The 23,017-nt window shown below is 35.0% G+C and overlaps 1 protein-coding gene and 1 pseudogene across 5 annotated transcripts in view; both read left to right on the top strand.

Annotated features, from left to right (window-relative positions):
• The window catches only part of SLC2A2 (solute carrier family 2 member 2), a 30,374-nt gene extending 12,339 nt beyond the window's left edge, over window positions 1-18,035 (top strand). For 3 of the 5 annotated variants that reach the window (NM_001278658.2, NM_000340.2, XM_011513087.3), the window contains 8 exons: window positions 4,300-4,424; window positions 7,119-7,234; window positions 8,277-8,439; window positions 8,910-9,097; window positions 11,702-11,806; window positions 15,216-15,317; window positions 15,986-16,189; window positions 16,279-18,035. In NM_001278658.2, the coding sequence (NP_001265587.1) occupies window positions 4,300-4,424; window positions 7,119-7,234; window positions 8,277-8,439; window positions 8,910-9,097; window positions 11,702-11,806; window positions 15,216-15,317; window positions 15,986-16,189; window positions 16,279-16,479 (1,204 nt within the window). In that variant the 3' untranslated portion in view covers window positions 16,480-18,035. The remainder of the gene's footprint in view (window positions 1-4,299; window positions 4,425-7,118; window positions 7,235-8,276; window positions 8,440-8,909; window positions 9,098-11,701; window positions 11,807-15,215; window positions 15,318-15,985; window positions 16,190-16,278) is intronic. The other 2 variants (NM_001278659.2, XM_047448761.1) reach the window with 1 other exon arrangement.
• Window positions 19,350-19,512, top strand: RNU1-70P (RNA, U1 small nuclear 70, pseudogene; annotated as a pseudogene).

Raw genomic sequence — 23,017 nt, 5'->3', positions numbered from 1 at the left:
TTGTGGAATAGCTTTAGAGTTGTTTTTTCAACTCATGACCCTATGAGGCATATCAGTGTTAGATCAAATCAATGAAAAAAGCTGTTGCGACAGTTTGGTTAATTGTTCAGACATTTATACCAAACATGAGTTTTGTGTGTATTTCTAGATAATTGCTTTGATCCTCTAGCTTTGTAAGTTATAAAATATACTAGGAGACCACTACACAAACGGTTAACTCAGGAACTCAGCAGAAGAGACTAATTAGAGTTTTTAACCTGGGAGTCCATTGTTTGCTTCACCAAATCACACTATGTCTCAAACATCCAGTTTTCCCTTTTTAAATTAGAATTTGGCATTCGGATCAGTCAAGTTCAAAGGTTCAGTCAACATCCCCAACTCCCAATTGCCCAATGTATTTGTTATGCGGTTTCTGGCTGCTGGTACTGCTTGCTATCTCAAAGCCCCAACCAGAGATGAAGCAAGAGATACCCCCATTTATCACTTGAGTTTCTGTTAGGTTTTTTGGATTAAAAACATCAGTGGAACTCCTTTACCCTCAAATTTTACTTATTCATGCAATGGACTACAGCTGTTAGGATTTCCCACCCTATATAAAGAGGAGATAAAACCAGAATATCAAATGATTATTTTTTAGATTTTCTCCTATTTGAGCCCACCTTTTGTGCATTACCTTTTTTTCTCATGATAAAAATAATATATGAAAAATTTAGAAAGTGAAAATGCCTTTAAAGATGTAAATAACAATTTAGGCAACTAGTTTAATAATTCTGGATTATAATTCACTTAGTTTTTCAATTCCTATTATAAATTATAATTTTTAGCTCTCTGGTTATTAAAATTCTGATAACTCTTCCTCTTATACTGGAGCTTTTATATAATATGACTATAAGTTTTCTTAACTACAATATCATGGTAACCCAAGTTTTATTATTATTTTTATTTGAAATGGAGTTTTCTCCACCATAAAAGACAGTGGTCAATTTCTTATATTTTAATCAACTTGCTGATGTTCAGTTGAACTTTAAATACGAATCTGTAAAATACGGATTAATAAACTGAATTTCATCATTTAAAAAAATTCAAAAATAATTTCAATGTGTATCAAGTTGGTTTAAGTAGTAAATGGAGAATTCTCTAGATTAATTATTTATTGCTAAAGTAAATTATTTCCTAGCAAGTGGGCTCAGACAAAAGGAAAAAGGAAAAATAATTTTAAAAAAAATTTTTAAGTAAATCAAATTAAGCAAAATTAAATTACGTTCTAAAATATGCACAAATCATTTAGCAACTACTGATATTTTATACTACTTCTCATTCCTGAAGAAAAAATGTAAACCCTGGTTGCCTCTCATTTAGAGGTAAGATTCTGATGAGTTCAGTGACTTAACCTAAAACATTTAATTAGTGTTAACATTTAATTAACATTTAATGGAGCCAATATACAAACCCTCTGAAGTCTTAGGATTTGGCATCAACAATGGTTATACCCCAAAACAATGTCAAATGACCACGTATCAAATGACCTATGGTAAACAAAAAGTGAGGTTTCTCCTAGCTTTTAGTAATAAAATGATCCCCCTTGAAAAGCAGCCCAAAAGTCCATAACTTCAACATCAAAATTAAGACAAAGTTATCAGTATCCCCATAAAATTATCTTTCTAGAGAGATTCATTGAGAAGTGACATGATTTTCATTATTACCAGTGTCATTTATCTACCAGTCAAAAGTAAATAAATAAAAATGTAATACTTCCATTATTGCCTTTAAAAAAAAAAGTGTTTCCTTGCAATTGTGTAATAGTCAACAGATGTCTGTGGCCACCATTTTATAGTTTTGGGTTTGCAAGGCCAATTTTTCCAACCTATGCATTTACAGTTTAATTACCAGGGTACGGTAGAGAAGACTATGGTCTGTGCAATCCACACTACCATGAGTAAAGGAAGCGATGCATAGCTTGCCTTTGAAGGCATGCATTCTTTCCCATCAAAAATGGAACTCATTAAAATGATACATTACCCTTTGGTTTCACACAGATCAAGTCCAAGATCTGTCACTTAATAGCTGTATGAAAATGAGCAAGTTATTAGGTTCTCTAAGACGTTTTCCTCCCATCTGCAATGTGAAAACAAAAATAATACCTACCTCATGGCATTATTGTGAGGATTTAATGACAACAAATATAAAAGGTTTAAAACAATGCCTGACATTTATTAAGCAAACACCAAATGTGGCCTCATTTTGATGATGATGATGATGATGATGATGACGACAATGACCATGACCACGACAATAATCGAGCCTATACTATCTGAAGTATTTAGAGTCAGATTTTAAGAAATATGCTTACATAGAATTAAGCTTCTTTTTCCCTGATTCAGCTATTTCATGTATTTTTTAAAGTATTTATTTGTGGCCATTTCTAATATCTGAACAGAAGTTAAAAGAATTTAAATTACATAAAGTGTTCCTGCATCCTTTGGTGGTAGGGAAAGGGGACTTTAGGGCATCAAAGATTCTTCCAGGCTATTTCTTTTATGACTTTTTATCTTTTTTCCCCTAATAAAAGAGACTATTAGCTAGGTGGTAACAACTTGTTAAGGTCAATTATTGAATTTGCCTGCCCTCTGTCCCTGTGTAGATAAAAAGCATTTCACAATAGTCTAAACTACTAAACACCCCTTAAACTATTTTTCTACTCTGTAGCTCTGGGGCTAGCCAGCTCTAAATCACTCTGTTTCCCTATACTCATTTCACATTGCTGCTGTAATGAATTATCCCCAATTTAGTGGCTTAAAACAACACAAATATGTTTTCTTATAGTTTTGGAGGTCAAAATTCCAAACTCAGTTTTAGTTAGCTAAAGTCAAAATGCCAATAAGGCTGGTTCCTTCTGGAGGCTTTGAGGGAAGAATGCATTCCTTGCCCTTTTCCAGCTTGCAGTGACCAACTATAGTTCTCTGGCTTGTGGCCCCTTCTTCCATCTTTGAAGCACAACATTCTAATCTCTACTTCTGTCATCATATCACCTGCTCCTCTTCTACCTTACTCTTATCAGGACATTTGTGATTACATCATTGGATTCACTCAGATAATTGAAGATAATCTCCCCATCTCAAGATTCTCAATCACATCTGCAAAACCTCATTTGCTATGTGACGTAACATTTACAGAGTCTGGGGATTATGCTGTAGGCTGCCAGGGGACATGATTTAGCCTATCACGTGGATGTTGGACAATCACTGCAGTATGTGACTTTATAGTTTTATGCTCCAGAAAAAAAAAATTCTGTTTGGTTGGTGTTAAAGATACTTGCATGGAAAAGGCCCACCTATCAAAGTTTGAAGCAGTGAAATAGAATATAACAAGGACGTTTACATTTCTTTTGGCACAAACATTTTCACACCTGTCTACTCAGGCATTTATTGGCCTTACCATTATCTGCTTGACTGCAAAAAAGGTTTTCTGTGTACCTCGCTTTCCCATTAATTAGAAATAAAAGTAACAGATATCTGCAAATGTTGTCAATTTTCATCTGATTAATTTTGAAAGTGTTTTTGTTGCTATTGTCAGCTCTATTATGTATTTTACATTGGTCACTAATAATTTATAGATTTTGGAAATATGCTGGCATACAATATTAAAATACAGATAATTATAATTCTCTAGATAAGGCTTAAAAGTATGTTTTAAATTACTTCCAAATAATTTATACAAAAGGAAATTTAACTTTGAAAGTTCCTTTCCTATCTAGATTAAAAACCTGTGCCATTGAAAGAAAAAAAAAGTTGTAGGTTACAACTATAGAATTGAATTTAGCTATCACCAGACAATTATTCTTTAAAACAATCAACTTAGAGAAAACTTAGTTAACTCTTTGAAAAACTGTCATAAGTGTTATCTTAAGCTTGTCCTCACCAGGATTGAATCATCTCTATCAAAATGTAGAGATTAGGCTTGAGCCTGGGAGGTCAAGACTTCAATGAACCATGATGGTGCCTTTGCACTCCAGCCTGAGTGACAGAGCGAGTGAGACCCTGTCTCAAAATAAAATAGAAAAATGTAGAGATCAGGTGGATGCAACCTAGGTTATCCCATCATAAGTCTTGCTTATTAGTAATACTTTAGTCCATAGATGAGTCAAATTAGCAATCTTGGTTCAAGATTCCCCAACTAGCTTTTACAGCAAAATTAAAATAATTGCTCTTAGGTTAAAAAAAATCTCAACATGCTCTGAAAGCGAATAATTTTAGCAAGTTTTGATGCTGAATTTATATTCCTTGCTTTTTAAAATTTCAGAATCAAAGCCATGTTAGTAGCAAACATTCTGTCATTAGTTGGAGCTCTCTTGATGGGGTTTTCAAAATTGGGACCATCTCATATACTTATAATTGCTGGAAGAAGCATATCAGGACTATATTGTGGTAAGTCACACACACACACACACACACACACACACACACACACACCTACCTTTGTCTGAAAGTAACTCTAAAGGCGGATGTGGTAGCACTCAGGGATATTTTTGAGTCTAGGGTGACATCACAGAGGGAAAGGCAATAGCATAAAGTTGAAATCCTGAGTTGGGAGGTTTGGGACCAGTAAGTAGGAATTATGATGCTATCAAGGTTCTCGTCCATGGCAATGACATCATTTCTAGTTGTATGATCACAGACAAATTATTTAACTCTGACTCTCAGTTGCTTCATTTATTAAATGAAGTGGATAATAATATCTACCTTATAGGGTGATTGTGAGAACATATGTAAAACGTTCCGCATAGAATCTGACATACAGTAAGCTACCAGTAAATGCTAGCCGTTGTTATTACTGCTGTGGTATAGCAGACAGTGGGAGACTGCTATACCACGACCCTTAATTCTGCCCTTATGGACTACCTGGCTGCCATGTCTCCATCTCTTCTATCTGACAAGACCTTAACACTCTGAACCCATCTCTTAGACCACATTCCCCAGCCCTGTATGATTCTAGACATGACCGAGTGAAGCATTACAGTGGTGGTGTCCATAGGGAAAGTGAATCAGAGAGAAGCAGCTGATATTTAAAAGTTCAGAATAAAGGAAGGAGGTTCCTCCCACAAACTTTATTCTGAATAGTGGGAATCGCTAGTTCTTGGAGACAGCTTTTCAAACATTCAGAGGCAACTAATTAGCAGACATCTGAAGAAAGGGAGAATCATTCAATCTCTCTCTAAAACAAATGGCTAAATCTGTAACTTCTGCCAATGAAGCTCTGATTTTGACGGTGCTAGGTTGAGATTTTAACCCATTTTCACAAGACGTAGTTGCCTTTCAAGGCACCTCTATCCATGGGGATGGGGAAGGAGTGGTGAGGACGTAAGATTTGTATATAAAAGTATTTTTAACACTTTTACCTACAGAAAAGACTTGAATTCCATGTATCTTCAATGATCAGTTGAAGCAAAAGACTAAAATATCAAGTTAACAGTCTAATTAAATCTCTTTTTATTATTTTCATTGTTAATAAAAATAACTGAAGATCAGTGTAGCTTTATCAAGGTAAAGAGTCAACCCCAAATGTGGAAAGGGCTTTGAATTCAGAGCAAATAAATTCTGGCACTGTCTCTGCATGGCCTTAAATATTAAATCTGAGCCTCAGTTTCTTCTCCCATAAAATGCAGATAATAACACTATGAACGAAGTCCCAATTATGATTCTTCTTTCTTTTCTCTCCATTTAAAAAAATACAGTGTGAAAAAAATATACAAAATGTTTTTGGTAAAATTGAAAACAAATGCTATAAATATATTGTAAAACAACCTCTAAGTAGCATAGCCAACCAACTTGTACTCCCTAACTATCTTCTAAAATTATGTTTGGCCCTATTCTGAGCATTAAAGTTCCTAAAAATTATAGGAAATATAATTTGACTTCAAGTTCATGTGACTTCAGACCTGTGAGCTTATCTACATTATTCTGTTTTTCAGGTATAGTATTAGCTATTACAGAAAGATAGTACAACTTAGAATTGAGCCAAATAAATGATTTTTTTCTTACTTAAGATCAACAGGCTACACATTAAAAGTCACCTGTAAAATTCAGCTGAAATACAGATACCTTATCACACATGTAAATGTTCATTTGAGACATTAAGAACAATTTGAAGCATTAAAAAATATATTTTGAAAACAATTGTCAAAGCATCTTTTACACAAAGATCATCCATTTCAATTTGATAGGCAGGTAGTTTCTAAGAAGAAGCCTCTGCAAATCCTATTTTTAAATAGTTAAGAAAATGCCAAACATTTAATTCAGCCTTGCCTGTCGATAGTCTCTGAACTTTTTATGCAGTCAGCAAATGGCTGGACATTCCACCATTTCCAGCACGACTGATTACATGTGCATTTAAGAAAGCTTCAGAAGGCAGAATGAGCTAGTGCTTTCCAATGTTTTGTATTCGTTTAAGTACCAAAAGTCTTTCTTCAAATAAAATTTTTTCGAAGCCTAATATTTGAATAGAATAAAGAAGCTGGGTTTCCCTGGTTTCTAACTGGGGAAGAGTCCTTAAGATCCTTAACCTCTTCTACCTCTCTGCACCTCCCCTCGCCCCTCGTCACCACCTTAACAGTGATCTTGAGGGCCCTCTACGTTGTGGAAATTCAGATAGGGCATGCTGTTCTCACACTAATGCTCTGTTGCTTGTGATCTTTGGCAAGTTGTTACTCAACATCTATCAAGAGGTTGGTGGAGATATGTTCTGATTTCCTTTAATCCCATGAGCCCTAATTAAGAATATTATTAAAACATTCTTCAATTTCTTTTCTGAAGATAACCTAAGGCATTATGATGTAAACTAAAAATTAACATGAATTTTAATTAAATAAGATGATGTAATGAAGAACTGTCAAATACATGACTAAGCATTTCTTTCTATTCATGTTTCCAACTACAACTGCATATGAGGTCATATCAAATATCTCCTGCACAAACTATGTCTATACCTAGGAACAAGGGTTCATCCTTCCAGTGAATTCAGGGAGGGGCTTTCATTCAAGATATATACTGTACTTAAACCAAATTGTTATTATTGAGATAGTCCTGGTTGCACTTTAACATTTATGTTTATGTTTCATGCAGGGCTAATTTCAGGCCTGGTTCCTATGTATATCGGTGAAATTGCTCCAACCGCTCTCAGGGGAGCACTTGGCACTTTTCATCAGCTGGCCATCGTCACGGGCATTCTTATTAGTCAGGTAAAAACTCCCCATCCTTATCCCCTACTGCACCCATCTACTTCATCCTCTACAGTACCACTACTACTATTGCATCCCCTACTGTACTTCCTCCACTTCATCCATCTCGTCCCTCCCTGACTGTCCATTCTCACTGTAGACCAGCACAGAGAGAAAAGCCAATTCTACCAGTGGTAGTGGAGGTGGTGTAGAGACATAGAGTTTTTCGTTCAAAGGTAAATTATTATCACTCCTCACTTTTCCCCTTGGAATTGTTGGTGGGATAGCACTGGAGGTGACCTGGCAAGCCAGGTCTTAACTTTAGAGCTATTCTAGAGTTAAATTATTCCATTTAGATGTCAAGAAATAGAAAACTTCGTGTTTGACTGCCTGGGTTTCCTTTGTTTTAAACATCTTACTTGGGAATCTAATATGTAAGTGATTGCCACAGGAACTCCTGTTCAGCTGAGTCTATCCTTCCCTTCTACCCTATGGTGTCAAAGGGAGTCTGGGACCCCACACCTACGACAATCCAGAGGGTAGTCTATAAACTGTTGCCATAGGAATCGCCAAGACAGTTCTCATCACAGTAATTGTTCTATCTATAAAACCCCTTTCTATAAGTTCTGGGTAATATAAGAAGGAAATATCAAGCAAAGGTCCAAAGTCATGGATGATTTTAACACAGTATTATTCTATCTGGTTGCCTGGAGAATACAGCTATGTGTTGCTTTAGATATCAAGTACGTATTTTTGCCTAAGCTTGGTTGATTCTCATCCTGACTGTCCAATTGGAGTTAATGAAACCTAGGGTAATTCCTTATATAACAAATAGTTCCTAATTTAGTTAAAGTGAGATAAAAAAACCTAGGTTAATTCCTTATATAACAAATAGTTCCTAATTTAGTTAAAGTGAGATACAATAGTAACAGTTTCCGTTTTTACTTGAACCAAAGTTGTCAGAGACTACTATTAAATAGCCAAAGTACTTTTTCAACAAACTAGTGTAAAAGGTAGATCCAAAGTATTATGTAGTTGATATACTTCCTCCTTGCATTTTCAGATTATTGGTCTTGAATTTATCTTGGGCAATTATGATCTGTGGCACATCCTGCTTGGCCTGTCTGGTGTGCGAGCCATCCTTCAGTCTCTGCTACTCTTTTTCTGTCCAGAAAGCCCCAGATACCTTTACATCAAGTTAGATGAGGAAGTCAAAGCAAAACAAAGTAAGTCTGTGGATGGTTTTTCTTTCTTCCTATTGTTTTGGCATTATCAGCTAATGTAAAACAGTGCTTTCCACATGAAGTTGGTGATTAAATGTAAGAAGAATGTGCAAAATCGCTTTTATATGACTGGTGCATGTCATTTGGCACCCATAGGCATTCACTTAAGCCGAAACCAGAAATCCATACACACGGTATTAGACTCAACCAGAGGTTTCTAAAAGATCCCTCCAGCATTATGCTTCTAATATAATGAGGATCATAGTTTTATTTGTCATAAGATGAAGCCAAATGTTCTATTTTTCTTTTAAATCAAAGAGCAGGATCTAATTTAACAAAAAAAGAATTTCCAACACCCATGCTATTAAGTAATACAATGGGGCATGCAGAAATGTAGCTCTTTCATTAACATAAAAATAAATTTCTTTTTGTTTTGGCCTGAGTTGTTTCAACCTGATCATTTTCTTGGACAGGCTTGAAAAGACTCAGAGGATATGATGATGTCACCAAAGATATTAATGAAATGAGAAAAGAAAGAGAAGAAGCATCGAGTGAGCAGAAAGTCTCTATAATTCAGCTCTTCACCAATTCCAGCTACCGACAGCCTATTCTAGTGGCACTGATGCTGCATGTGGCTCAGCAATTTTCCGGAATCAATGGCGTAAGTTTAAGAACACCCACTAACTCTTAAGAGCACAGTGAATTAAAATAGGGAAGGCAAGGGGTACAAGTTTAAATAGCTAAAAGATATTTTAAGGTATTGGCATCATGGGTCTTGCTATAACAAACGTACATTGAGTAAGCATTAATTTCCATTTTGCTTCAAAAGTTTTCTAAAATTACTTAACAATTTTTTAAAGTGTCAACAGTCAATGGTACTATATATCTATTAAGGTGAAGGCAAAAAGCAAAAATCTTAATACATACAAGGAGGGAAAAGGAGAATAATTATACAACCCTCCCCCAAAAAACTGCAAGGAGCTTCTACAGTTGAGTATTGAATTTAGGATTTCTGATAGCCCAAGCCAAATGGAGTCAAGGGTTCCCTTTATCTATTTAAATGAAGTATACCAGATAGCCAGGTGCAAAGAGCAGTTCCTGCCATCTAAGAAATTTTCACTCCATTTGAGGAGATAGCACACAAAATAAATAATAGAGTAAACTGGCATGATATTGTTGACTAAGGACGGTAGACAATACATGATTGAAAAACATACTGAGCATTAAACTAGCTAGCTTTTAGGTCTTACACTGAAACCCCTGCATCATGCAGACCAAGATGGTTCTACTGACAATTGACTACTAGAGGAAAAAATTAAGCATTTGTTAAGAAACTAGATTAAAAAAAAAAAAACACCACTTCTCCCCTTTTGTTGCTGTTAAAAATGTAAACTGGACATTTGCTGTAGTGAGCCAATGCCAAATCCACATGGGACACTTTGTGGGTGATTGAGAGATGGGCAAACACTTGGGGGAGGCAAAGGAAGTAATTCCCATCCATTGAAACAAAATGAGACCTGAACCTCACTCCACAAACTCCACTGTGGTCTCCGTCCTCCTTTAAGAGGTCCTTGATGTTTATTTTTATTAATACTCTGTATAACTTTGAGGCTCAGAGACCAAACTCATATCTCCCATCTCAGCTCTGTCTGTATATTCAATGGCATAAAATTTAATTTCTCTGAACCTTACTGTTTCAGCTTCCATCCCAGTGCCTGACTTAAAGAGGAATCTAGGAAATGTTGAACCTGAGGCTGTTGGGCAGCCTAAAAATGGTGGGATAGTGTGAAGCGTGCTGTAGGCCTCTATGCACTGAACACAGTTGGCACAGTCCTCTACCTCAGTCCTGTCTGCAGGAAGAGGTACCAGCAATAGGACACGTTAGGTGGGGAAGGAATGACAAAGGATGATGGATAGCAGAATGACCTAAAAGACATAAATATATAAACATAACTAAATTTTAAAAGGCTATTAGAAAGGTTGTGAACAAAATTTCTCCATGTCTACTGAGACTAGTGAAATTTTCTGGATTAAATGCAATAGCAACTAGACCTCTTATACATGCTGGTGAGACTGTAAAATTGTCATAACTTCTTTCAAAAACTATCTGGCAATATCTATCAAAGTTGAGCACATGCCTACACCATGGTCCAGCAATTCTATTCCTAGTTATAAATGCATACATATTCCACCAAAAGGATTGTACTAGAATGTTCCTAGCAGCACTATTCATAATCACTATTCATTATTACTATTCATAATCAATAGCTAAAAGACATTTAAAAATGTTGACATCATGATGTGTCTTGCTACAACAAATATATATTGAGTGAGCATTAACTTTCGTTTTGCTTCAAGTTTTCTAAAATTACAATTTTTAAAAACGTCAATAGTCAATGGTACTATATGTCTGTTTAATATTAAGGTGAAGGCAAAAGGCAAAAATCAAAATAAATACAAGGAGGGAAAAAGAATAATTACACCCGCCTCCCACCCTCCCCCCCAAAAAAAACTACATTGCAAGTGGCTTCTAGAGTTGAGTATTGAATTGAGGATTTCTGATAGCCTAATGAATAGTAAATTATTCATTTAGGAATGGCAGCTACCTAAATACTCATCAATAGAATAGTAGTAAATCGTGGTATATTAATATAATAAAATACTACATAGTAATGATAGTGAACTGTCTACAATACACAATAAGGATGATTCTCACAAAGGTAATGTTGACTAAAAGAAGCCAGGCACAAAATGATACATATTATGTGGTTCCATTCACATCAAGTACAAAAGTAGACAAAATTTATCTATGATGTCAGGAGTTGTAAGAGTGGTTTCCTTGGGATAAGTGATAAAGGGAGATTTAAGAAGTTTCTGGAGGGGTGGAAATTATTTATCTCTTGATCTGGGTGCTAGTTACATAGGTGTGTTCAGTTTGTGAAAATTAATTAAGCTGCATATTTATGTGTACTTTTCTATGTATATTATACTTTAACAAAACGTTTCAATTTATTTACAAAAATAAAGAAAATGCAGTAGCAGAGTTCTCAACTAAATATAAGGAGGACGTTTAAGCAATCAGAAGCTTTAAACACTAAAGGAAGACTGAGGGTTCTCTTCCTTGGAAGGAGAAAATCTGTACGAAGTTCTAGGGTGCATGCCGCTATAGAAACAACTAAAAATAAACAATCTAAAATATTTCTTGCTTTAAAGATATCAGTGCCAGACTTCTTAAGATTAAGGCTAACCTGTTTTTACTTTGCAGATTTTTTACTACTCAACCAGCATTTTTCAGACGGCTGGTATCAGCAAACCTGTTTATGCAACCATTGGAGTTGGCGCTGTAAACATGGTTTTCACTGCTGTCTCTGTAAGTCAATGCCCTAGATAAATACTCTGCTTGTTCCTTAGTCCAGAAATTGCAGGAGGGGTGGGGAACTTCGGCTCTAAAAGCAATCAATGACTTATTGTACACATGCTCTAAGTGTGTAAACCCAAGTGAGTCATGAGAAGAGTCCTGTTTGAATAAGCCAACCACTGCATTGAGATTAGGCATAACTGAGGTGAATCGCTGATTCTCTGCACTGCTGGGATGCCATTTAGTCACTCATTTGTGAATTTTTAACTCACTTGGGGACACAGAGAACTTCCTCCTTGTGCAGATTCCTAGGTTCCTTCTTTTCTCTGTACATAAACCCCTTGGGAGTAGCTGACAGCTTGTCATTTCTATTGATATTGGATGGTCTACTTAGATTCCTCTTTTTACATAGTTCAAATTCTTTTTTTTACCATGTGCCTTGGGGGAAACATATAAAAATAAATAAACAAGGCCCTCTCTAACAGACATTTAAGCCTTTAAGCAAAGTTAAACAGACTCAGCAAATGGTATTAAGCCATTGAGCAGAGCTTCCAAGTAGTTCACAAGGTTGTGGCTTCCGGTGATGCATGAGAGTATGTGTGAGATTATGAGGGAAGTGACATAGTAACTAGAAATGTTATTGTTTTCTTCCAACAAAAAAAAAAGTCATATACTCTTCTTAAAACCAAATAACTTTATATAAGAAGTGATGGTTCTTATATATTAAGGATATATAAGAAGTGATGGTTCTTATATATTAAGGATATATAAGAAGTGATGGTTCTTATATATTAAGGATATATAAGAACCTGACAACAAGAATATCTAACATAATAATCTAAGAAGTAAACAAACAACAATAAAGACAAAAACTCCCCAACTAATGTAATTCACTGTAGAATGAGAGTCATTGAGCTTATTTTTATCTTTGTTCAACAAGATAAAAACAGCAAAAAGTTTATTCTTTTCAATTTTAGTCACAATACTATACTCAATATAATTTAGTCACTTGTTTTTTATTCTCTGCACATGAACTCTTAACTATTACCTTAGGGTGATCAATAAATTACAGCCTGGCTACCCAGATCAAAAGGCAGGTTTGTCCAGACCACATTAAACAGTGCTGGACCTTGGAAAGAGCAGGAAAAACAGATAATAACGAAACACCAATGGTTCTGTAGACATACCTTTAGAGATAAGGCCTGTTTAAACCAAAAGGCCACTCTAAATCAATCAAGACCTGTTTCTGAAGTGCAATCCAAGGGACTATTCACCCTTTTGTCTCCTGGAATATTTTTTACAAATTCTTCAACATATTTTTTATGATAGATTATTATTAAAACATTTTGTGTATAATAGGATTTTCTATGTAAAGCATCAAATTGTCAAGATTGGGTAGCCTAAATTCTGAAAAAATCTAAAGAGGAAACTTCTGTAAAGTTTCATTTTTGCACCCTGCTCCCAACCCCACTGATGTGGGAGGAGTTGTTTAAGACAGTGTCCTAATTATTTTGAATGTACCTTTTTAGAGTCCATCCTTTGATTCTGTTTAAGTTTTTGAACAGGGAAGTGACATAATCTTTTAAAACCAGTCCAAATCATTAATTAAGCCTCCAGGACTACAGATCACATTTAAAATTTTTAATTATATTAATTTTTGAAACATTGTTTTAAAGTTCAAAAAGTATAAAAAGGATAGTCCCTCCGTCACCCAGTTTCTCTCCCCAAAATTAACCAATGTTACCAAATTGTGTGTGTACTTTCAAATAAAAATATGCAAATAGAAATATGCACTGAATATATTAATGTTTCACCAAATTGGAAGAACATCAGTTTGTTTTTGGGAAGAGAGACTTTCCCAACTCCACACTAATTGTGTTCCACATCCTATATTTTCTTCCACACTAATGGGCTGGTAGAAGAGGGCCTGTAATCTTGAGAGAAAAAAAGCAGAAAGAAAATGGAGGGATCTAGGAAGCAGGATGACACTGAGAAAGAAGCGGTGACTACCAAATTGGAACTAAGAGCCCAGGATTTGCGTGAGGCCCTGGGGCAAAGATGAGCGTTCTAATTGGGAAGACATCTCCAGCCACTGACCATGTCTCACTCCTTGTCACACTCATCCTGAGTGTACACCAGGCCTCAGGGACAGAGGCCAACTCAATTTTCAAGATGTTCAGTTTTAGAGTTTATAGTAAGGGAGCTTATTCACAAAGAAATGCTTCTATTTTCTTGGTAGCTTGACGTGGTGGCACCAAGCCAGTTTTGAACATCATAATAAAAGAGTTAAAATATAGAGAGAAATTTAATGAACTTGAGAAAAGTCTGTTTTTTCCAACTTCCTTCTCAATAATTAAATATGTGCTCTTAGCTTATCATCTTATCTGAAGTGATTTAAAACTCTGATATGAGTGTGCCTCTGAGAAACAGGCTTTCACTGTAGGTGAAATGTTTCTAAGATGTCTTCAGAGCCAGAGCTCACTATACTAAAGACATTGGATTGCTATTGATTTACTGATAGGCTGATGAGCCAGCCAACTTGCTCACCAGGTGCCAAAGTGAGAAATTATGACAGGAAGTTTTGTGGGGGGTGAGGGGGAGAGTGACTCACCAGCCTTGGTAATATTCCAAGGATCAGGCAAGAGTATAACAAACTCTGGTCTTGGCTAATTGTAAAACTTAACCATTAATGCAAAGGTCCACAAAACTAAAGGAATCAATGACGTATCTCCTCAGTTAAGATAAGAAAGCATTTTAACCCTTTGCTTTAAAGTGCTAACTTTTAAAACGAATAGTTCACTCCCAGCACAAGATACAATTAAGCATACCAGAAAAATGCAGGCCTATTTTGGTTCAATTATCAAATTCCACATGTTGCTAGGTGAGTGGTCATAATAGGACTTTATTAAGCAGTGAGAAAATTGGATGAGAATAGTTGACACCTGAACAGTTGTACTGTTTCCGGTGTCAATAGTGCACAGACCCTTGTAATTATAACTTAGGATAACTATTAGAAAATAAGTTAATGTCATGTTTAAATGTGGAACCTTCAAATTTTAAATGTACAGGACATCTATTGGAAGAGACCCCAGCTGTACAGTCTGTGAATATTGTACCCAAAGTGATAATCCTGGAGTAGTGGTAACATTATGGTTCTATCTCTATAATGGTCTATTCAAACCAATGTGACTAAATTAAGCAGATATTTGATCATTACCCGCTGTCCACTGAAACTAGCTCTGCCACCTGGGGCTAGAGTCACTCCCCACCTTGATCTCACTCCTGTAAAATGGAAGGATGGAATTGCCTCTTATCTGTTATATAAATTAAAATGACCTCTTTGGCAGTAAAAATGATTTAAGTAAACAGTCAATATTTTGTGACTCACAAAACTGAGATAATTTCTTTAAAATTGTCCTAGGTATTCCTTGTGGAGAAGGCAGGGCGACGTTCTCTCTTTCTAATTGGAATGAGTGGGATGTTTGTTTGTGCCATCTTCATGTCAGTGGGACTTGTGCTGCTGGTAAGTTTGGTGCCTGCACTGAGGTTTTTCATTAACATATGATGGTACCTGGCACCTCTGTGGTCCAGGTTAAAGTGCTTTGTATTCAAAAATATTTGAGACTGACTTACGAAATAAAGCCAGAGCAACAGCATAAAATCAAAGGAGATATATAAAGAAAAGATGAACTAGTTTCTTGGGTTTAAGACTGAATATCAGCATGTAAATTCTGGTTGTCATCCAGGGAGGCCATGTACCCATGGTTAGAGCATAGGCTCTGGATTCACCGCCAACTGGGTTTTAATGCTGACTCTGCCACATGGCTTCCTGTGTGACCTTGGGCATGTACCTGAACCTCTGCCCTCCTGGCATTGTCATCCACTACTTCACAGGGAGCTAAACATCTTGTCTGGAAACCTTAGTATGAGCAGAAGCAAAGGTCACTGGATCCTTGCCCTGCCTCTTTTACAGGAAAATCCTAATCCAGAGGATTTCCTTATAAGAAATCTAAAGAGTTATGCATGATTCAGACTAGAATAATTTCTCTCAGAATAGAATAACTTATACTTGCTTGAACAAAATACATTAGAAAAAGTTGTATGCCGCCTGTGAACTCAGAGGCTACTTAGCTAAAGGAAAAAGCAGCCAAATGATCTCAGTCCCACTATTGTTTTTGTTTTTTTCCTCAGAATAAGTTCTCTTGGATGAGTTATGTGAGCATGATAGCCATCTTCCTCTTTGTCAGCTTCTTTGAAATTGGGCCAGGCCCGATCCCCTGGTTCATGGTGGCTGAGTTTTTCAGTCAAGGACCACGTCCTGCTGCTTTAGCAATAGCTGCATTCAGCAATTGGACCTGCAATTTCATTGTAGCTCTGTGTTTCCAGTACATTGCGGTAAGCAGCCTAATATTCCACAGATTTACTGAACAGAAGAGAGGGTCAAAAAACTGCTAACTCAAAGTCTGTGTTTGCTTTCTATCCAGGACTTCTGTGGACCTTATGTGTTTTTCCTCTTTGCTGGAGTGCTCCTGGCCTTTACCCTGTTCACATTTTTTAAAGTTCCAGAAACCAAAGGAAAGTCTTTTGAGGAAATTGCTGCAGAATTCCAAAAGAAGAGTGGCTCAGCCCACAGGCCAAAAGCTGCTGTAGAAATGAAATTCCTAGGAGCTACAGAGACTGTGTAAAAAAAAAACCCTGCTTTTTGACATGAACAGAAACAATAAGGGAACCGTCTGTTTTTAAATGATGATTCCTTGAGCATTTTATATCCACATCTTTAAGTATTGTTTTATTTTTATGTGCTCTCATCAGAAATGTCATCAAATATTACCAAAAAAGTATTTTTTTAAGTTAGAGAATATATTTTTGATGGTAAGACTGTAATTAAGTAAACCAAAAAGGCTAGTTTATTTTGTTACACTAAAGGGCAGGTGGTTCTAATATTTTTAGCTCTGTTCTTTATAACAAGGTTCTTCTAAAATTGAAGAGATTTCAACATATCATTTTTTTAACACATAACTAGAAACCTGAGGATGCAACAAATATTTATATATTTGAATATCATTAAATTGGAATTTTCTTACCCATATATCTTATGTTAAAGGAGATATGGCTAGTGGCAATAAGTTCCATGTTAAAATAGACAACTCTTCCATTTATTGCACTCAGCTTTTTTCTTGAGTACTAGAATTTGTATTTTGCTTAAAATTTTACTTTTGTTCTGTATTTTCATGTGGAATGGATTATAGAGTATACTAAAAAATGTCTATAGAGAAAAACTTTCATTTTTGGTAGGCTTATCAAAATCTTTCAGCACTCAGAAAAGAAAACCATTTTAGTTCCTTTATTTAATGGCCAAATGGTTTTTGCAAGATTTAACACTAAAAAGGTTTCACCTGATCATATAGCGTGGGTTATCAGTTAACATTAACATCTATTATAAAACCATGTTGATTCCCTTCTGGTACAATCCTTTGAGTTATAGTTTGCTTTGCTTTTTAATTGAGGACAGCCTGGTTTTCACATACACTCAAACAATCATGAGTCAGACATTTGGTATATTACCTCAAATTCCTAATAAGTTTGATCAAATCTAATGTAAGAAAATTTGAAGTAAAGGATTGATCACTTTGTTAAAAATATTTTCTGAATTATTATGTCTCAAAATAAGTTGAAAAGGTAGGGTTTGAGGATTCCTGAGTGTGGGCTTCTGAAACTTCATAAATGTTCAGCTTCAGACTTTTATCAAAATCCCTATTTAATTTTCCTGGAAAGACTGATTGTTTTATGGTGTGTTCCTAACATAAAATAATCGTCTCCTTTGACATTTCCTTCTTTGTCTTAGCTGTATACAGATTCTAGCCAAACTATTCTATGGCCATTACTAACACGCATTGTACACTATCTATCTGCCTTTACCTACATAGGCAAATTGGAAATACACAGATGATTAAACAGACTTTAGCTTACAGTCAATTTTACAATTATGGAAATATAGTTCTGATGGGTCCCAAAAGCTTAGCAGGGTGCTAACGTATCTCTAGGCTGTTTTCTCCACCAACTGGAGCACTGATCAATCCTTCTTATGTTTGCTTTAATGTGTATTGAAGAAAAGCACTTTTTAAAAAGTACTCTTTAAGAGTGAAATAATTAAAAACCACTGAACATTTGCTTTGTTTTCTAAAGTTGTTCACATATATGTAATTTAGCAGTCCAAAGAACAAGAAATTGTTTCTTTTCAGTGTGATTTGTTTTTCATTTGGGCCAATTTGGGATAAACTATTTTCACTTGGGATTTCAGGATACAGTCAAAATAAGCTTAAATAACTCAGGACATCTTTGTGCTAAACTGTGAACTCTGGACAAAAATAGAGAGTCTCTGAATAGGGCAGGAGCAGGAAAATGGCTCCTGGGTGGCTCTTGTATGCTTCTTCAGGATGCTGATGGCCTTTGGGAAGCCCAGTGTAAACAATGATAAAGGAGCTTAACACTTTTATAGGTGATACATGTGATTTAATCAAATCACTATTCCTGATCTCATTTACTAACAGAATAAAGTGGTAAATATTTAAATTAAAAATTCCAAAGACCACTTTTAAGTGCTTCTTCACTATTTTGACTGGCCCACAAACACCAGAAATTCAGACCCTGAAGTTTTCTGCCTCAGAGAAATTTAAGTACCTTATATTGTTCCCCTTCTACAACTTTTTCCTTGCAGAGATACATGTGAGTTGACAAGAAACATTAAAGGGAAATAAGAAGAAGCTGATAAAGCTTTATAGGAGGACCAAAGAACTAGCTTACTATAATAAAAAAATTTTAAGTCTTCAAGGGTATACATCATAATAAAAAATCAAATTGACAGTAATTAATTAAATTTAATCCCAGGGAAATTAGATGTGAATTTGAACACCTAACTTTCCATGTACTCTCTCATTTTTGTGGAAGTGTTTCTATACTCTAATGCCTTTACAAATGTGATTTTTCTCTTAGCTCATTTGAAGTATGAGAATTAGAGTTTTTGGTCTCGCATTCACCTGCTACATCTAGGATTGCCCACTGTCATGACTCCCAGGAAAAGGTCCTATCTTAGCTTCCTCCTCCCTACTTTCCTCTACATGGTCAGCACTGTAATGTAGCTAAGATATAGTAAGGCATTGCTCCCTCCCCCTACACTTCAAGGAGTTCACAGTCTAATGGGGAGTTCAGGAAGGCCAGAGTATTAATATCCCCATCTGTGTCTTTTGCCTTCCATGAACCTGGGTTTTGAGCCCTCTCTTGTAAAATGGGCACAGTAATATTACCTACCTCAGGGAGTTGTGAGGATTAAACATGAAGTGCTAAGCATAGTGCCTGGTACAAAGACAGTACTCAATAAGTGCTACCTAAAACTAGTATTCATAGCAATACTGTTAGGATAAAGAATTATCATATATGAGATAGTTCCAAATTTTTGTTTTTTTAAAAAAAAAAGAGTTTTATAAGTTCAAGATAATATTTTCTTACTTCAAAGAAACAATCTCACAACGAGGGAATGGTAAGAATCAGGAGAGATTACTAACCTGGCAGAGGAGCTATCACAATCACAAAGGTGGTTTTTCCAGGGCACGGCTCATCCATTACACTCCAGATGTGCTGACCCCTGCCATTTCCCCAAATGTGGGAAACCCAACTGCACAGTTTGTAGTAGTGGGTGACTGTGTTCATGCGCTCCCCTGAAAACAACAACAACAACAAAGAATCAGAAGAGATACTAGGCTATCTAATTCCTAAATCCAAACCTGATATTTCTAAGTAAGATTATAAGAATTTTTATTGCATTTTCTGAATTTGCTTTTGCATAAGTTATGTTATTTTTACAGGGTCTATATTACTATTATTTCTTAGAATAATACTAATTATAAAACAAAATTCTGTATATCACATTTAAATGTAATTTAATAGAATTATAATCACAAGACAAGACCAAACTTTGTTGATAATCCTCAGTAATTGCGAAAGGGGTATATACATGTAGGCCAGCATACATGCATAAACTACTTCTTATTGCTAGTCTAATTGTTCCATATGTAGCAAATACAGCAGTTCAGCAATATCTTGTGCTTACAGGGTCCTAAGCAGAGGTGATGAGTCAAGTGTAAATATATATATATATTTTTTTTATTTTTCATGGCAATTGTATATTAGTAACCTGGGGAGAAAAGGTTTATTGACAACCACTCTGATCCATCTGCTGCTATTTTTACTGCTAATTTGGTGCACATTAAAAAGAATGATCATGAAAAGATATTACTTTGAGTTAAAAGTATATATATATATATATATATATATATATACACACACACATATATATACAATAGTTTGATGTCAATAAATACATTTCTGAATGCTTAGTGTTGCTTCATTTACATAGAAAAAAACACACTTTAAAAACTGATATTGGTTTATTATATATATTCATTTCCTTCTCACAGTACTTTCCCATTCTCATTTTAGAAATAAAATGTGAATGATTTTTTAAGGCCAAATTTTATTCCCATCTGGCAGTTGTTTTGATTATAAGTAGTGGAAAAACTAACCTCAAGATTAAATAAGAACAGTAGAAGAGAAATGAATGACTCCGTTTGATGGAAATAATTTAATTGAGCAAATATTTAGTTGAGTTCCTTTTATGAACAAGATACTTTGTTAAAGTTCTGTGAAACATAAAGCTCTCATGAAAGAGCTAAGATTTGAAAACAACTAGTTATAGTACTATAAGGAGTGTAGTAAGAGTATAGAAAGTATACATAAGTGGTTTTCAAATTTTTAAGTTGACACCTTAAATTTTTTGTCAAATATTTAAAAATCTGCAAAAGATGCAATTTTTTAGAATATAGTATATATTGGCATTTTAAAAAATTACCGTGCTATTTATTTAATTGAATTTTAAAACTATAGTAATTTGTTACTACCCATCATCAAAAAAACAAAGACATTATGTATAAGCTTTTCATATCTATCTATATCTAGATATACCGATATCTAGATAGATAGATAGATAGATAGATAGATAGATAGATAGATAGATAGATAGATGCCTCCAGCTGCAAAGGACATGATTTCTTTTTTTTGCCTGCATAGTATTCCATGGTGTATATATATATCACACTTTCTTTATCCAATCAATCAACTATTGATGGACACTTTGATTCCATGATTTTGTTGTGAATAGGGCTGCATTAAACATACAAGCTCACATGTCTTTTAGACATAATATTTTTTTTCCTTTTGGTAGATGCCTAGTAGTGGGATTGCTGGGTTGAATGGTAGTTCTATTTTTCATTCTTTGAAGACTCTCCATACTGTTTTATTAATACATAGATGAACTAATTTACATTCCCACCAACAGTGTATAAGCATTCCCTTTTCTGTGTGTCCACACTAACGTCTGCTGTTTTTTGACTTCATAGTACTCATTCTGACTGATGTGAGATGTATCTCATTGTGGTTTTAATTTGCATTTCTCTGATGACTAGTGATGTTGAGAATTTTTCATATGTATGTTGGCCACTTGTATGTCTTCTTTCGAGGACATGTCTGTTCATGTCCTTTGCCCACTTTTTAATGGATTGTTTTTTCTTGTTGTTTGTGTTCCTTGTAGACTCTAGATATCAGTCCTTTGACAGATCCATAGTTTGCAAATATTTTCTCCCATTCTGTAGGTTGTCTGTTGACTCTACTGATTATTATTTTGTTGTGTGGAAGCTTTTTAGTTTAATTAAGCCTCATTTGTCTATTTTTGTTTTTGTTGCATTTGTTTTTGAGGTCTTAGTCATAAATACATTGCCTAGCCCAATGTCCAGAAGAGTTTTTCCTAGGTTTTCTTCTAGGGCTTTTATAGTTTCAAGTATTACATTTAGGTCTTTAATCCATTTTGAGTTATTTATATATAGTAAGAGTTAGGGGTCCCATTTCATTCTCTTGTATATGGCTGGCCTATTTTCCCAGCACCATTTATTGAATAGGGTATCCTTTCCCCATTGTTTATGTTTGTCAAAGATAAGTTGGTTATAGGCATGGGGATTTATTTCTGCGTTCTCTATTCTGTTCCATTGATCTATGTGTCTATTTCTGTGCCAGTACCATGCTGCTTTAGTCACTATAAGCTTGCAGTATAATTTGAAGTCAGATAATGTGATGCCTCTGACTTTGTTCTTCTTGCTTAGCATTGCTTTGACTATTCAGGCTATTTTTTGGTTCCATATAAACTTCAGGATTGTTTTTTCTAAATCTGTGAAGAATGATGTTATTAATTTGATAGGAATTGTGTTGGATCTGTATATTGCTTTGGGCAATTTGATCATTTTAATGATACTGATTCTTCCAATCCATGAGCAAGAGATGTTTTTCCATTTGTTTGTGTCATCTACTATTTTTTTCATCAGTGTTTTGTATTTCTCCTTGTAGAGGTCTTTCACCTCCTTGGTTAAATGTATAATCCTACTTTTTGTGTGTGCATGGCTATTGTAAATGGGATGGAGTTCTTCATTTGGTTCTCAGCTTCAGCATCATTGGTGTATAGATATGCAACTGATTTTTGTGCATTAATATTATGTCCTGAAACTTTACTGGAATTTTTTATAAGGATTAGCAGTCTTTTGAAGGAATCTTTAGAGTTTTCTAGGTATAAAATTATGTCATCAGTGAACAGAGATAATTTGACTTCCTCTTTTCCAATTTGGGTGCCTTTTATTTTTTCTCTTGCCTGATTTTTCTGGCTACGACTTCCAGTATTATGTTGAATAGAAGTCGTGAGAGTGGACATTCCTGTCTTATTCCAGTTCTTATGGGAAATGCTTTCAACTTTTCCCCATTCAGTATGATGTTAGCTGTGAGTTTGTTATATATGGCTCTTATTATTTTGAGGTATGTTCCTTCAATGCCTAGAGTCTTGAGAGTTTTTATCATGAAGGGATGTTGGATTTTGCTGAATGCTTTTCCTGTATCTATTTTTATGATCATATGGTTTACGTTTTTGTTTTCATTTTGTTTTAATTATCCATTCTTCATATTCAATTTTGGGGTTTTTTAAAAGTTTTTATTTTTAATTCTGCTTATGTGGCTAATCACATTTATTGATTTGCATATGTTGAATCATCCTTGCATTCCATGAAATAAAATCTACTTGATCACAATGAATTGTCTTTTTGACATACTCTTGGATTTGGTTTGCTAGTATTC

The sequence above is a fragment of the Homo sapiens genome, chromosome 3 (assembly GCF_000001405.40).
Source record: "Homo sapiens chromosome 3, GRCh38.p14 Primary Assembly".
NCBI classification, from domain to species: Eukaryota; Metazoa; Chordata; class Mammalia; order Primates; family Hominidae; genus Homo; species Homo sapiens.
The sequence above is the reverse complement of the archived record's forward strand: the minus strand, read 5'-3'. Positions and strand labels throughout refer to the sequence as shown.